The sequence below is a fragment of the Homo sapiens genome, chromosome 10, assembly GCF_000001405.40.
Source record: "Homo sapiens chromosome 10, GRCh38.p14 Primary Assembly".
In the NCBI taxonomy this organism is placed as follows: domain Eukaryota; kingdom Metazoa; phylum Chordata; class Mammalia; order Primates; family Hominidae; genus Homo; species Homo sapiens.
Window position 1 is genome coordinate 129,430,640 of NC_000010.11, and position 17,173 is coordinate 129,447,812.

Genomic DNA, 17,173 nt, shown 5'->3' on the forward strand with positions numbered 1-17,173 from the left:
TCAGGTGTAAAGCACTCTGAGCAGTGCCTAGCAGACACGAAGCGCTGCATAGGTGGTGGCGATCACTGATCCACACTGAGGTCTGCCCTCTTCACTGGTCCAAGATGCCTCCTCACCACGCACCTATGGCAACCAGCAGCTAGAACCTAACCTCTCTCTTACAGTTACAACAGGAGATCATCTGCATCCCATTGGTTGGAACTTAAGGACGTGGCCTCAACAAGTTGCAAGGGCAGAGGAAAACGTAACCTTCTTCCTAGGCACTCAAGCGCTCCTAAAAATCTCATCACTGGGAAAGGAGTTGGCAAAGGGTATTGGAGGACAGCTAGCAGTCTTTGTCACCATACCTGTTAGGTGTGTCCCAAGGTCCCCATTTATATCCGTAAGTCAAAAGACAAATATATCTAAGCATTGACCTACTAATGCATTCGTAATGTGTCCTACATTAAAATGAGGTTGTATTTAATTTTGCTTGTTATGCCTTGATTTTTACTCAACTCAGAGATTAATTCTCATCAACCCTGTTAAAAACAAGGTAGAGGACAACTCGTACGATGGAACCAGGTGCAAAATATCACTTACATTTTTATCTAGTTTTATCACAGTGAGTTCTGGTACATTTTTCATTTTTAAAAGGTGGGCATTAGATTCTAGGAGACAAGCAATCCTAGTTTTATCAACACAGCTATGGGATATTGGAACTACCAAAGCAGAAATCTCATATAGAAACCTTGTACATTCATTCGCCATGACTAACTTTTCTGTCTTGTGGAATTGAAAGTTATAAGAATGGCTTTCTTTAAAGCAATATAGAAACTTTTTTATTGCAAACAGCTAAATAAAGGCTGGCAAAAACAATAGGTTCATTTTTTACTGCAGATCTTCAAATTATAGGAAACTTGTCTCTTGGCCAATTTGGGCTGGCTTGGAGCCAAAATAGATGTCTCCATTCTCATCCTCACCCTTATACTTATTGTGGGCAAGATAAAAACCCTTAATTTTGAAAACTCGAGCCAAGTGTTGGGTATGAGGCAGAGTGACTCCCTTAACTATACTGGTCCTGAAAAAAAAAATTGTATTACTTTATACCAGTTCACTTTTTTTTTTCAGTTTTTAGAAATTGAGTACTGAGAACAAGAAACTTTAACAAAAGGGAGATTCAAATATTTTGATGGTCTATTATAAATCAAGTTTTAATAACTAGAGGTATATACAAGTACAATCAATCAATGAGAAATACTCACTGGTTAAATACTTCTGATCAAGTCCTTTTCTCTAGGTGAGTTGGCCCTGAGAAAATTAGCAGGCATCTTTCCATTTCAAAGCACAAAAGGCTTCTCTTCTGTTTTTAGCCATGTCACCCTCCCGCCTTTTTTTAATTAACAAGATTTGAGATCATTTGGCAAATTGTAACCATAAAAGTGAATATCGTGATTGGATGATGTTTTATAACTTGAAAAATAAATCTCACCGCTTTTCTCCCTGTGTACTTCATAAATGTCGCTTCCTCTTCACTTCATATTTATCTTGCTTTCAAAATCCATTATGCAATTGTCATTTCACTGAAATCAAAAACTGTCTCTTAATTACATAAGAATGGATTATAAATCAGTTATTCATCTCTCTATATGTTCCTTTTATAATGATTATAGCTAAATACCTATTTTTATACACAAAAAAACAAAGTGGATTTTACCAGGTTAAAATTAGGACTTGCAAAATTCTGCAGCCTAGAAGACAAAACAAAGCCATATACAATGCATCTAGTTTGTGATAATAATGCGATCTTGCACTGATGAAATACTGCAAAGCTTGTTAAGTCAATGGCTTTGGAGAAGACAATGGAATCTGCATTTCCTCCCTCGACTGAGTTAAATTTAGAAGGGAAAGGTAAGCCATACTTCCAACAGGAATTAGAAAACACTGCAGTTGGTGATGTTACAGGGACGATCCTCTTGCAGCCTAACTTGCAATAAATGGACCTTCATAAGACTCGAGTCTGCTGCATATCCTGGTAATTAATCATACGGAGGCACCAAGCCTTAAGTATTAAACACTCTCTAAATGGGAAAAAAATTGCTGTATTGCTAAGCACTAGGACTTGATTCATTTAGTATTAACTTTTAGTCTTTATTAAAGTGGCTTTAATTTTATTTGTGTGATGTTAGTGCATTTCTGGAAAAATAAACACCGAGGTTTTTTAGCTGATTGTACCCGATACGCTCCTGATTCAAATTGTAAGCTGCATGCTATTTTCCAGGAGAAATAAAGATCCCCATTTTTTAAAGCTTATTTTTAAAAACATGCCATAATGGTAAGTTGCATTTCAATATCCTGTGAAAAGTGTGTACTGAGGACAGCACAGTGGCAGGCACCGGGCTGGGAACAGAACATGCAATGATGCTCAGGTGTGGGCACTTGGTCCAGGTTGCCCACAGCCCAGATGGGAGGCAGGGAGGATTCAAGTAACTGTCCTCTGATGCAATCGAGAGTGTGCAGACACGGTAGACAGATCTGTTTTACTGGAGGGATCCAGGGCAGCTTCCTAGAGGAAGCACACTTTAGTTCAGCTGTGAAGAGTAAGCAGGAATTTAGTGCCGGGGCAGGGCTGGAAGGGGAGCACCCTTAGGACAGGAGCACTCTCAGGATGGGTGGGGCAGAGCAGCTCATGGCATAGCGTGGGCTGCACCGAAGGCACAAACCAACGCACAGGCCGCTTGTGGTCTAGCAGCCATTGTCTCCAGCATCCCCACACTCAGCAGAACCGAGGCCAGCCCTGGTAGATCCAGATTCCTGGGGAAGCATGAAAGCTCCTGGCCCCAACCCCAGCAACTTTCCAGCAGCCCCCAGACAGTCTGGCTTACCATCAGAGCCCTGCCTGCGACCTTGTGGATTGGGGATTTGTGGTTCTGGTTGGCTCCAGACATAGCCCTTTTCCCAAAGGAGGACTGGAAGCCAATCCAGAGCCAGCCAGTCCTGCAGCCTCTCGGGGCTGGGCCTCAGCAGGTGTCTGCAGAACCTGCACCGTCAAGCACTCCCAAATTAAGAGGGGCACTGGGCCCCGGGCCCCTGAAGTCTTTCCCCACTCCACCTGCATTCCCATCCCCTGGAGCCCTCATGTTAGGCCACTACCCATCAGGGGCTTACATGAGACCATGAGAGCCTGCCCTCCTCCACTTTTGGCCACAGACGACTCCAGAGATGTCCATGGACGCTGACTTGGTGCTAGACCCAGGGACAGATGCCAGGGAGTTTGCAACGCATCGGCCGGTCAGTTGGGAAGTCACATACAGAGAGAGCATCTTTGGGTTCGCTCTAAGCTCCCTCCTCTCCCCACTGCCCTTCCCTTCCTCCCTGGGTGACCATAAATGTTCCTGCATTATCTATTGATGATTATAATCACACGAAGTCAGGACAGATGGGCTCCACTCCTCAGCTCACAGCCATAAAGTTTACAAACTCGCCATGGCCGGGGGATAAATTACCATTGCTGATCTCTCGCTCATTTACACAGAGCATTTTTCTTCAAGATGGCTATTTTTTCCTTTCAATCATCTGGCCAAAGTTTTTTTTTTTTTTTAAACCAACTTGATTTTATAGAACATGAGAAATATTGGGGATTTGAAGAGCAGTTTAGAAACCATCATCATAAGTGATTAGGCAAAAAAGATATTTCTGAACATGGAAAGGAAGCCCAGTTTCTCATCCTTTATAATCCCACGGGACTGCTGAGCAACTGTGTATTCCCGCTGGGTCACAGGCAGTGAGAAATGGGCCCCCAATGGTTTATTTAAAAGTGTGTTGTCGAAGATAATGGTGCTCAGATTAAGTTTTTAGTCTCCTTGATAACTGCTGTTGTTCCATGGACTAATTATGTCTACCTTCGATTCACTAATGTGGCCCAATCAAGCTCCTCATATGGGATGATATTTCTGGTGGTTGTTTTCTAGATTCTCCACGCCCCCCCAACAACGGTACCAGCGGGTATTGTGTAACACTACAGAAAAGGAATGATTAATTCAAAGTTCAGGTGCAAGACAGGGTCAGAAAAGAAATACTCCTGGATAGAGTGAGCATTTCAAGATGAATTTGTGACTTGAAACATCATTTTATGACGCATTTTCTATTTTGTTATCATGGGAAGTGTGATGGCTGACACACGAATGATCACAGCATTTTGGTGCCATGTTCTGTGATAGGCTTTTCATAAAAATTAGCTGACATTGTCATGAGCACACAAGTAAATTTATAGCTTTCATACTGGACTGCCATTCCCAGAGCAATTTCCAATCACTTGCGCTTTTTATTAAGTTTATTGTACTTTTATTGTTCAGTGGAATGTAAGCAGTGAGATTACAAATAAATGTAAGTTCCACTGGATATGAAGTGGAGCTTGTAGAATTAGGAGAGAAGGGGGTGAAGGAAGCCACACAGTAATCTGAATCACTGGTGATAGGAAACACCACCCACTGATGTTTCTTGTCACCTGCTTCTGTACAGAAGTTTAGGAAATTGACATTCCATTCACATTCAAGTTTTCCCGGAAAGCCCTCCTAGGAGAAGCCTTTGTGGAAAACTTGGTACTGCACATCACTCTGTAATGCAAAGAAAATGCATCCTGCTGTCACTCCTCTGGGTTCCTTTTCTGTTTGTTGCTGTGGCTTCCTGCTTGCTCCCTCCCCTGCCAGGTGTGTCATGCTGGCACAGTGAACATTCCCCTCCAAACTGGTGAGGACCCTGTTAGGAAGCACACTGGCCAGTGTGCCTGTGCACCCCACAATGACCAGCTTCCTTCCCATGCTTTCATTTAGTACTGAAGACACTGGGCCATTTAACTTTCCATTATGCCTTTATGTTTCCCCAAAGAAAGGGTTCATAATCACTAAAGTCCTACTGTTGGGTTTTTTTTTCAGCTGTTGATTTAAAGTTGTTAGTTAAGGTGTGTCAGGGTTCTCTAGAGGGACAGAATGAATAGGATAGGCGTATACATAAAGGGGAGTTTATTAAGGAGTATTGACTTGCACGATCATAAGTTGAGGTCTCACTTTAGGCCATCTGCAAGCCGCAGAGCAAAGAAGCCAGTCAGAATCCCAAAGCTGAATAACTTGGAGTCCGATGTTCGAGGGCAGGAAGCATCCAGCATGGGAGAAAGACGTAGGCTGGGAGGCTAGGTCCATCTAGTTTTTCCACGTTCTTCTGCTTGCTTTTATTCTGACCACACTGGCAGCTGATTAGAGGGTGCCCACCCAGGGTGGGTCTTCCTTTCCCACCCCACTGACTCAAATGTTAATCTCCTTTGGCAACACCCACACAGACACACCCAGGAACATTACTTTGCATCCTTCAATCCAATCAAGTTGACACTCAGTATTTACCATCATACAGGGTGAGAACAGAGATTGGAAGAGGGGGGGGAACCCTGTGCCTGTACAACCCTTCTCCTATCTTAGAGGTCCAGAAATCACTACCCTGCCTTTTGTTGTTGTGTGTTAGGAAGGTGAACTTTTAATTTTAGTGGGCATCTGTGTGCAGACACTGTGGGTCACCAAATCCCCCCTCATACTTCCTAACAGACTCCCCTTTTGTCTTCAGCTCCAGGTGATGGATCATAATTGGCCCAAACCAATCATCTCAATGTTCTTCCCCATTTTCCCAGTCTCCCTTGTTCTTAAAAGTGGCCAGGAAACCTAATTCCAGGCAACAAGATTTACACAAAAGTGTGCTGTGGGGTATGGAGCTAATTGTTTCTGGGACAGCTTCCCTGATTAAAGGGGACATTTGTTGATAGCATACTTCTTTTTCCTCTTCCTCATCTTTTCTGCCTTAAACCTGGAGTCCGTCTGGAGCTGTGGCAGCCATCTTGCAATCACGAGGCAAGAAGCTTCAGGACAAAAGCTGGCACACCAAGAATAAGGGACTGAAAAGATAAAACAGACCTGGCCGTGATGGCATTGGTAAGCAGGGGGACTAACACTGGCCTTGCCTCCCCACACATTCTATGGGAAAACCAAAGCCTCTGTTTAGGGCCAGCTGTCATTCGTCAGGTATTCCATGTCTGGCAGCCAAATGTGTTCAGCATCAGCCTCATCTAGGGAGCTCATTAGAATGCAAATAGCCAGGCTCACTCCCAGAAATTCCCTCCCAATATGTCTATGATCAGGCCTGGGAGCCAGCACAAGCATCCCAGGTCATTTTTATGCAGGTCATATCCTCAAAATACCCTTAGACACAAAGTACCCTTGGAGCACACAAACGGTAGCAATGGGAGGGTAAAGGGAAGAAGTCTGCCAGGGCGACAGGAACCAACCACGTGTTTCCCAGAATTTTTGTTCCCCGCAACCCCTTCTCAAACCTACCAGGTAACACCTGTTGTTCTTGAGCAGCAAACTTAGAATACAAGGAAAATAAAACTGCTCCCACCCAGGATTAGGATGCTCTGATGGAAGGATGCTCTGATGTGTGTTAGGAAGGTCTGGTGTCTTCATCCATCTTCCTGCCTCACCCTGGTGTTGATTCCACAAGGTCATCTCCAGCGGGTTGTGAACGTGGCCGCTCCAGAGAACATCGGCCTCACCCTATCCTCATTATGGCCAGCAGTCAGATCCTTCTACCACCCAGCCCCAGAGGACGCCCAGCCTCAATCCTTCCAGTGAGAGGCAGTAACGCCTTATTAGTTCAAGATGGGGGTCCCCAGGGTGTTGCAGCCCAACAACGCCGCTGCTTCCACAGTGATTGTGGACTACGTCCTGACTGCCCCTTGCAGAAAAGTAGGACTGGAACACCACTGGTAGGCATGGAGAAGCTGGGCTCCAGGGAGAGTGCAAGGAAGGGCCAAGAAGAAGCTGTGGGGAGACCGGAAGTCCAAAACGACACTTAGCCTCCACCAGTCACAGCTTGAGGTCAGAGAAAAAGGAATAGACAAGCCCCAGCACTGCAGAGCCACAGGCAGCACTGGAGTCCCCAGCAGTGCTGACAGAATGGCAGCTTCCTCATTCCACCCAGACAGCCCCACTGGATCAGCTCCCTGGAGGTAGGGCCCAAGAATCTGCATTATCTGCAAGTTGCCTACATTACCACACCTAGACCTTCCTCAAATTCATTTGGGGGATCATTTATCCCCAGTCACCATGACATTGGGGTCAGCCAGAGCTGCCTTTGAATTCCAGCGGGGACACTTCCTAAGCCTGTGGCTGTGAGACACTGTGGCATCCCTGACTAGGATGTGTGGACAATGGGATAATCATGGTACCCACATTACCTACAGCCCTTAGAGAATCAGATGAGACTGTAGACACAGTGTACTTAACACAATGCTGCAAAGATGCACAGTGAGCATTCAGCAAGAGCTAATCACTTTTATGCCATTGCTATCATCTTCTGGGTGCCCCCATCCCACTGGCACCCCCTGTTTACCTAGCCTTCAAGATGATGAAACATGAAAAGTCTCAGCTAGCCAGTTCGCAGAAAGGGGGATCTGAGAAAATAGTTCTGATTCAGATGTTAACGACAGCCCTAGTTCCCCTGTTTTACACAAAGGAAGCAGCATTGTTTTGGATCCTAGCAGGAAGGGCTAGTCCAGGAGCTGGAGAGGAAGCCCACACTTAGCTCCGCACCTTTGGGACTTGGCCGGCACCTAGGATGGCAGCTCCTGGCAGCAGAGGAAGGGAAGGCAAGGCCCAGGAGGCCCTTCAAGGAAACCCCCGCCGAGATGCTGGAGGGGAGAGGACTCCAGGAGGCCACTGGGTGTTCAATGCTAGGAAATCAACACGGCGATGCCTGCATCCCACAGCCAAGGCACTGGAAGTGGCATTTTCAGCAGGTCTGCAGCAGAAGAACAAGTGGGACGATGGAAAGAAAACAGGGCCCACTTAGCACTTCTCAAAAGTCCCTAGATTTGGAAGGTGATCTGCCTGAATACAACTTTCTTTAAACCCATATATTTGACTTGTAAAAATGGACATTTGCGGTATCAAAAGTGAGTGTATTCTTGGGAAATATACTAGCAAAATTCAATGAGACTTGAATTAGAAAGTGCTCAATGGATGTCCAGGATGTATACAGCCTGGACAAATGACCTAGACAAGGAAGAGGAGACACCTCTGGCTGGAGGTTGGCAGTCAGCCACTGTCTTCCCAGCTGTGGGGCCTGAGGCCTGGGCTGAGAGATCTAGACACAGGCGGGTGACCTGCCCCCCAGGCCCCACCTGCTCTCCCCTGCAGCCCCTACAGCATCACTCCAGACCTTGAGCAGGCCTGCCTCACCCCTACCCTCAGCATGTAGAATGTCTTCAATTCCTAGGCAAACTCGGATGAGTTCAGGGCACCGTGACATCTTTTAAACACTGGGCATGTTTGCAAAGTGGTCTCCCTGACCCACACATGGGCAAGGTTGTTTAGTGATGTTGGCTGAGGAACCATTTCGGTCTGAAGGATGGCAGCAAAATGCATTGGCTGAGTCACTTTTGAAGTAGCTCCTTACTGAGAACAAACCACAGAGGCTGCTCAGATTTTCATAGGCTTTTGAAGCTAGTGAAGAAAAGACTTTGTAGCAGCATAGAAATCATAGAAATCCAACCCAAACTTCAGGAAATGCCACTGAGGACATAAGGTGTTTCTTTTATTTTTCCCGAGTGGTATCACAATTTCTAAATTCAACCTGTTCCTATGCACGAGTTGTAAGTGCTGAGATTGCACCCAAGGATGAGAACAGTTTCCTTCTTGAAGGATCTACAAGCTCTCTGGGGTACCCAGTTTGTGGGGGTGGGATGGAGTGGGAAGGACCCTGTAGGAAGCTGGGCGCATGGAGCTTTTGGCAGGAGAGTCCTGACTCAGCCTGCCCCTTGACTGCTACAGGGCCTGGCCCAGTGAAGAACAGAGTGGGGCTTATTCATGATTGATTAGCTTAATATTTAATGATTATTGATTAATTGATATAATGATTATCAATGGTTTGACTGATGGGTTTAGTGATTATTCACGATTGATTTATTCTTGTTTTAAAGTAGGTGAAATAGTTTCATAACAAGATAGCATTTCATTTATTTCCAAGGAGACATTTAATAACCCTATATCCAAATGGAGATGAATCTATTGTGTCCTTTTTGATGATCTCAATAAAACAACTCTTTCTCCATCACAGCCCTAACAAAGATCACTCCCAGATCTTCATGTCCAATCCAGATCTCAAATCTCTGTGAAGCTTCCCCACCAGCACCTGCTACACCACACCTGGGCTGGGCTGGGCACCAACCTCCATCCAACCAGCTGCTGGCTCTGTGTGCTACCGCCTCCCACCACCCACACCATCCCAGGCTGCCCACCCCCAACTAGCCTCTCCTTTCCTCTCATGGCTCATATTCCTCAGCCAGTGATTCCCTCCTGCCTCTTGTGTGGCCACACTCCAAGTCAGACTGTACATATCCTTCAGTACCCCCATTGTCCATCAAAATAAGTCTAACGTCCTTGCCTACACACCCAAGACCCTTCCTCACGCAGTCCGACTGACAGTCCTTCCAGCCTTTTCTCCCCCAGAGGCTCTGTACGTGGCCAGTGAACTAGCCCCATCAGAACTCAGCATCCCAGCCGGCCCTATGCGGATGTACCATGTCTTTGGACAAGCAATGGCATCTTCTTGCAAAACTTTCCGTCCTCCGTTGCCTTTGGCCCAGAATCTCTCCAGCCTGCAGGAGTCCATTAAAATCCTTCTTCCTTATCCTGTCTTTTCAGATCTACCCATCCAGGAGCAATGTTTGTTTTCCTTGGAATCTACCCATGCCTCTCGCCTCTACGATGACACCATCCTCCCTCTACCTCACCCACTTGTTCAACCACCCAGCAGCTGCCACCTGCCATGCACTATGAGTTCATCCGATTGGGCCATGGGACTCATGAGTCCCTGGAGGACAGACACTGTGACTTATCCCTCATTACACTTCTCGGGCCTGGCTCAGTGCCTGACTTACAATAGGTTTCCCAAACCGCTAGATTAAGATTGAGTTCACTACAGGAGCAGGTGTGTTTAGCAAGAGTGCTTTTCAAAACATCATGTTGATCAGAATAACTCTGGCCACTGTTTCCATTCCATATTTCTGCTGTAAAGTCTCAACTAAAAGGGGGAAGCCCTTGCCATTCGGAATGCATTATTCCCTTTGGAGAAACCTAGGTGGTGGGGAGTTCTTCCTGGCTGGTAGTCACCGCCTTCTGCCCTGGGCGCCCCTGCCTCCAGCCCCCAGGGCTTGCTTCTCTACCACCGCAGGCAGTCCTTAGCCTCTGGGCCTGGAAGCGAGGCTGAGGCCAGCCCTGCCACAGCGAGGCAAGCCCACCCATTTTGCATCTGTGTAAACCCAAGTGCTAGCAGCAATATTCATCTTAATTTTCTCTTTAAACCCTTGAGTTGCATTATAGCTTCCATTGTGCTGGTGACAGACAAATGCCTTGCAATAAATCAAAGTTAGGGTGACTGATACACTAAACACCTCTGCTTAATGATGTGATTGTTTCTTATCTGCAAAGTAATGTCACTTATGGCTTTGCTATTTATAGTCAATGTAGTGTTAGACCATTTTATGCCCCTGATGCCTCTGTGGCCAGCCCATTAGCTGTGATTATGGACCAAAAGGGGATACAGCCTCTGCAAGATTGGCGAGAGAAGCCTTCAGAGTGTTCAAGTCATCTCTACCCACGGAAAGCCTGGCTCCTCGTCCTGAGACTGCCTGCAGTTTCTTGCAGGCACAGGTGAGTAAATAAGATGCTGGCTGACAAATCCTGTTTGTGCTCCACTTGTATTAGTACTGAGCATCTCCAGGACAGCAAGATACATATGAAATGTTAAAAAAAAGAAAAAAAAAAGACAAGGGGCTGCTTCTCTCTCTGGCTCAGCCTCCAGCCCAGCAGGGCTCAGGCAGGGCGTGTGGAGAATGTGCGAGGACTGGGCCTTTGCAAGCAAGTCTCCTGTTGGGCTGGCCCAGGCTCTGCCGTTCATTCATTATTTGCTAAGCTATTTGCCCAAACTATTCTCTTTGAACAGGGTGTCGGTGGGGAGAGCAGACTTCGCCTGGGTCTCCCTGCTCTGCTCTGTCCCCGTGCTGTGAGACTTGCTGCCAGCTTCAAAGGCGGCCCCCAGGGTGGGACCAGGGACTGGGCTCCTGGGCAGCCCCCTGCTCCTCCTGTGCCAGGCTCCCAGCCCCGAGCTTCTGCACAGGCCCTGCAACTCCCCCTCCCCCTCCCCCCAGTCTCTGGGCTCCAAACAGCCTCGAGGAGCAGGACCCAGAGTGGCTGGCTACTCAGGGAGAAGGAGCAGGACAGCAGCATTGTAGAAATCCCTTTACAATGTTGGACACCTTGGGGGCAGCTGTGGCCATTCAAAACTGTGCCAGGGCGGGTCTTTCCTATGGCCCAAGGATCCCACAGCTTCAGGAACAACACTTTCATTGGACGAGTAGTGGCTTTGGTGGGTAGAACTGGGTTCTCCAAAAACATATGTTCCAGTCCTAGGCCTGGTACCTGTGAATGGGACTTTATTTGGAAATAGAACCTTTGCAAACACAATCAAGATAAGAGAAAATCATACTGGATTAGGAAGGGCTCTAGTCCAGTGACTGGTGTCCTTATAAAAAGAGGGAGACTGGGGACACAGACTCAGGGGAAAACACCATGTGAAGAAATACACAGGAAGACAGCCTCAGGCTGACAGACACAGAGATTGGGGTGATGCCTCTATAAGCTGAGGGACGCTGAGGACTGTTGGAAGACACCCGAGCCAGGAGAGAGGCATGGGGCAGGCTTTCCCTTGGAGCCTCCAGAAGGAACCCACCCTGCCAACACCTTGATTTCAGACTTCTGGCCTCCAGAACTCTGAGAAAATAAATTTCGGTTGTTTTAGGCCACAAGCTTTGTGGTAATTTGTGATGGCAGTCACAGGAAACTAATACGGAACCAAATGACTTCGCTGAGCCCTCAACAGATGTCAGGGTAGGCCCTTTGCTGGGAGTAAAGTGACCAGCTGCCAGGCTGCCCACTTGGCTCTCAGAGGGCTCCTCTCTGAGCTGGAACAAGGGCATCAGAACACAGAGGGTTAAAGCCTCATCTGTAGATAAACAACCTCATGCACACTGCATGCTGTGCGTGTATATTTATGTTGCTTATGTTTTATGCCTCCATCCTCAACTCCTCCTGTATACCACGCCATTAATTTTCCTTTGATGTTTTGAAAAGAATGAACTCTATGTTTCTCTCAGCTGAGCAGTACCAACCAAGGGCACATTCAACCCGTCTAGCCTAGCACATTTTCCTGAGCCAGCGAGGAGTTGGGCTCATACTTTGCCTTCGTTCCCTAAGTCATGGCGGATTTTGGGCATGGAGCTTGGTGAGTGGATGATATTACTCACACATTCAGCATTCATTTGTGGAGGCTTTTGCAATTTACCATGTGCTTTTTGCGCACTGTATGAGTCAGGATGCATCTGAAGGCAAGATTCAGGAATCCAGCTAAAAGTGGCACGACTGCCCTGTCCAGAAAGAAGTGGTTGAAGAGTTCCAGCAGTGGCTCAGTCATGAGCCCCGTGACACCCACAAGGGCCCTGGCACCTTCCATCCTTCCATCTAGCATCCTCAGGGGGCATGTAGTAGGCTTGGCTCTCTGCAACCATCATGTGGCTGAAGACAGAGAAGGACAGGAGGAGGTAAAGACAGATAGAAGACGAAAGAGGGAGGAGGAGGAAAAAGTGTCTTTTAGGAAGCCGGCCAACCATGACGGTTGCGCACATATTTCATTTTAACTTAGAGATCATCATTTCACAATAAATACCACTTTATAAATGTTTAAATACAATTTAAGGAGATAAAGCAGAGACTCATTAGCCACTTGGTAACAGATGCAGAAATATCAAAATGATCATTACCAAAATTATCAAAAAACAAACAAATCAAAAACCCAGCATGGCTTCAGGTGCAGGGCTGAGAAGCGTCTTTTGTTAGCAACTACCTCCGTGAGTCAGAGGGGACCTACCGCCGGATGGATACAACAGACGTTCAGGAACGGGATAAACATTGGCTCCATGTGCTTTCGTATCACTTAAAAGAAGAAATCTGTAGTGCTTTTATATCCCCTCTTACAAAAATCACAAATGCTATGAACTGCTCAACCTTTAAACCAAATGTGATGTTTCAGAGTTCTGACACTAACAGGAACATTTTAATTAAAAAGTAAGCTGGTGGGAAGGCTTATAAAATTCTGTGAAGTAAAAAAGATGTTTTAAACATGTAGGGACCCTTTGGGGGTAGAAAAAAGGGATTTTGCAGTAGTAATAGCTCTATTCCATTTTAATATTTTTGAATGTAGAGGTGTTTTTTAATCCTGTTCTAGAGAAAGCAAGATTTATCCTGATTATGTAGCAGTAACAAATGGTGAGGGAAGCGCTGTAAACACTACTCTAGCATGCATTTTATTTTTTGGTGGTATCCTTCCGCTTCTGGTTGAAAAGAGGAATAAATTAAATATGATTGCATGGGACTGCTTTATGCTTACTCAAGAGTGCTTGCCGTTGATGTCGATCCAGTAACAAACCTATTTTTCAAAGGGGGACGCTGGGGCTTGTGTTCATTCTCTAAGTATCCTCAGTGCTGAGCTTATCATTAGGGTATCTTTGGCAGTTCAGACTGAAATTAGCAAGTGTTATTAAAGAGTTTCAGTTATGCGGCTAAGAAATGGCTGCCTTTAGAACGGATGCTCTTTATTCAAACTTTCAATGTCAGTTATCATTTTTAAAGCAGCTTGACCTGGAAGCATGCAGCTAACATTGTGGGAACTGTTAATGACAGTTTTATTGGGCACTCTGCTTATGGTTCACATTTTGAGGTCTGTATGTAATTGATCTTTCTCCCCTACATGAGAAACACAGCAATAAGCTGGTTGCAGCACCACATTATAGATATAGAGAAATAATAATGATGTCACCTTGAGATTCAAAGATCGTGGAATAGTAATAGTCTCCTAGCTCATTTCTCCCAACTGTGATGACCTCTCCAATACTAAATCTTAACAGTCTCAGCATTATTTTTGAATTATTCATGCTAGCCTTTTCCCTCACTACAAAATCAAGGAAAATGAATGCATCATGCTCTGTCAGCTCCACAGGTATTTTGGTAAAAATATAAAATGTTATTTGGCATCACAAAAAAGGGCGAAACAGTAGTAACACAATGATGCAAGTGGCATGCTTACCTCGCACAGAAACACAAACGCAAACATCCATTTGTAGAAAATAAGACCAGGTGCATTTCCCCCATCAATTGTGAATTGATCGTTGGCTAATCATGTTGGGGTTAGCTGGATTGTGAGAAGTCTATGGCTTTAAATACAAAGTGCATAATAGGATTAGAGTCTATCATCAATCTGCCCCCCAAATTACACTAATAAGTAACGTCTAGAAATGTGTGCACTCTCTGTGATGGCCAGTTTTAGCCAACATTAGACTTAAAGCTGTTGCTTTCGAAATATCAAATCAGCATATATTTCTTATTTTAATTCAAATTATGTAGAGATAGCAGCTTGACAACTCTCCTAGTTTAGCCAGCCTAGAGAATATGGGAGTGCTACAGTTTTATTCCAGTGATGGATCTCATAAAAAGTGCATGTGGGAATAAAATAAAATGCATGTAAATGTAAACTCAGGCAGGTACTCTGATCCATCTGTAGCCTGTGACCTTTAAGTTCATGATGAAAAACAAATGTCAAGCTTTCAGAAGACAGGAGTATCCCTGGCTTGGCTGGGGTGGTGTGTGCTGTCGCGCAGACTGTATTAATTTAGGATGGCATCAATAACCTTGAAATCAGGATTTTGCACTAAAAACCCAGGTTTATGTTTATTCAGAATCCAAAGAAAAAAGGCAACTTTATTTAAAGAGGCCCTTCAGCGGCGAGTGGGTAATTGTTGCTCACCACTTAGATTTTTGGAGCTGCCGCCGGCTTCCATGGCAACAGATGCCTAAGACTGTGAGGACCCAGAGATGTTCCTTAAAGAGTCTTTTTATTCTGCATATAATGCTAATTATAGATGTGCTCTGCTCATTCGGCTAAGTAGGCCACACCTTGAGAGAAAGTGTGGTCAGTCAAGACCGTGCCTCGACCAAAATGCCGCGGATTCCTTGGGGACTGAGACAAAGTGCCATTTTGTTGTGCAATGTAGACTTATTTCTGAATGCATTTTTTTTCCTGGTAAAGAAAGAAACAGTCAAAGAAATCACTCGTTCCCATCACTGGACTGTAGGCACAAGCGATTTGGCCATAAGTCGTGCCTGGCTGAGCAAGCTCTCCACCACTCCCTGTTCTGATGAGAGAGCCCATAGTCATGTCCTCGTACTTGCCATGATGAGATTAATGGCAGGTCTGGTAGAGTCACACAGTGCCTTCAAATCATCCAAGGCTGAATTATGCTCAGTACAGACTTCACATTAAGTATGTTCCATTATATTCCAATTCTTTAAAACTTGGTGTAATAGGGTTAATTACTGGTAAAAAAACAAAAATAAAAATAAAAATAACTGGTATATTGCCTTTTCCACTGCTATGGGGTTCTCAGCAAAAAAAAAAAAAAAAAGAAAGAGAGAGAGAAAGAGAGAGAGAGTAGGAGAGAAAGAGAATCTGAGCTTGTCTCCCCCAAGAACAGCAGCCAGACTCTGTTAGGGCTTGCCCAGGGAGAAGTTAAATGCTTCTTTTGATGTTTGAGAAGTTGCCCTGAATTCAAGCCCCACCCATCCTTGGTTGGAAAAGCCCAGCAGCTGGGATGCGAGGCTGCCCCAAGAGGAGAAGAAAGGGCTTCACTTACCTGGAGCTGATGCAAGGGGAGTGGCTGTACCTCGGGCCCTTTTACGCTTGTAGGCTGGGGAAGGAAAGGATTTTGGAGGTGAGTAGCGGAGACCAGTCCCTGCCCCCTCACAGTGGTCTGGACGTAGGATGGCCAGATACAATACAAAATGTCCAGAAAATTTTGAATTTCAGATAAACAATACACACAATCTTGGGGGCATATTTACACAAAAAAATCTTGTTGTTTGTTGGAAATTCATATTTAACTGGGCATCCTGGATTTTTATTTGCTAAATCTGGGGACAGTGGGAGGCCATAGCCAGGGCTGAGATGGAGGTGGCTGCCTGAGGACCTGGGCCTGAACCTTGGCCTGACCCTAGCCAGGAAGGTCCTGGGTGAGTCTTCTCCCAACTTCTTGTCTGTCTCCACCCAAGTCGCCTGACCAGCAAGTCCTAAAAGTATCTTCATCCTCAGTGATTCCACTGCTCAAGACCAGGGGCTGCCTGTCACTTAGCAGGCCAAATCTCCATTCTGGGGTCTAGCATGGGAGCCCTTCCTCGAAGGTAAGACTGAAAGAGTAGCAGCCATGGTCAGACCAGGTGCCCACCAGGGCTCTTTCCCTGCAATCTACAAAACCTCAGCCAAGACTTTCATGTTCTCTGAGCTTTGAATACCCCATCGGGGTGGGGACCAGCCTAGGGCTGACCAAATGATCCCAAATTTCTCCTTAACTGCTTTTACTTACTTTGCTTTTACTCCCCACTGAAGAACATTTTTTTGGCCCACTTTCACTTCTTCAATAAATATTTATTAAGTGTCAGCATATGCCAGGATACATAAATGAATAAAGCAGACAAAAATCGCTGCTCTTACAGAGCTTGTATTTAAGTGGAAATGTTTAGAAAATACGTGTGATGACTAAGACAATGATAGAGGATTTTTGAAGGTGAAATGAGCTTAGGAAAAAATTAGAGCATGCTCAGGTGGGTGGAGGTTCAGGGCAGGTTGCAGATGAACAACAGCAATTTAAAGTAGAGTGGTCAAGGAGGGCCTCCTGAAGGTGGTATTTGAGTCTCAAAGGCAGTAGGCAGGTTAGCAAAGGTGCTAAAGGGAACAGTGTTTAGGCAGCAGGAACAGTTGGAGCCCTGGGGGAAACATGTGACTGGCAGAGTTGGGAGAGGAGGAGAGATGTGGTCTGGGTGGTTGGAGGCTAGAGGCAGGGCGTGGAAGGCTCCCTGGATGAGGAACGGAGGGGAGTGGAGTCACAGAGAAGGCTCTGACAGAGGATGAAGAGGAGTGAGTCGAAGCCACCTACACGATCCTAGGGCACGAAACCCAAATGCTGGGGACAACACCCATTAGAATAAAT

General features: G+C 45.8%; 3 annotated features.

The window, feature by feature from the left end:
- Positions 15,468-15,988: an enhancer, noted in NCBI's record as "NANOG hESC enhancer chr10:131244371-131244891 (GRCh37/hg19 assembly coordinates)". NCBI's record gives its function as "activates a minimal SCP1, AML or CMV promoter by ChIP-STARR-seq in naive H9 embryonic stem cells {active_cell/tissue: H9 hESC(naive)}" and the evidence as "EXISTENCE:reporter gene assay evidence [ECO:0000049][PMID:30033119]".
- Positions 15,586-15,880: an enhancer, noted in NCBI's record as "tiled region #9394; HepG2 Activating non-DNase unmatched - State 23:Low". NCBI's record gives its function as "activates a minimal TATA promoter and a strong SV40 promoter by Sharpr-MPRA in HepG2 cells {active_cell/tissue: HepG2}" and the evidence as "EXISTENCE:reporter gene assay evidence [ECO:0000049][PMID:27701403]".
- Positions 15,586-15,880: a silencer, noted in NCBI's record as "tiled region #9394; K562 Repressive non-DNase unmatched - State 24:Quies". NCBI's record gives its function as "represses a minimal TATA promoter and a strong SV40 promoter by Sharpr-MPRA in K562 cells {active_cell/tissue: K562}" and the evidence as "EXISTENCE:reporter gene assay evidence [ECO:0000049][PMID:27701403]".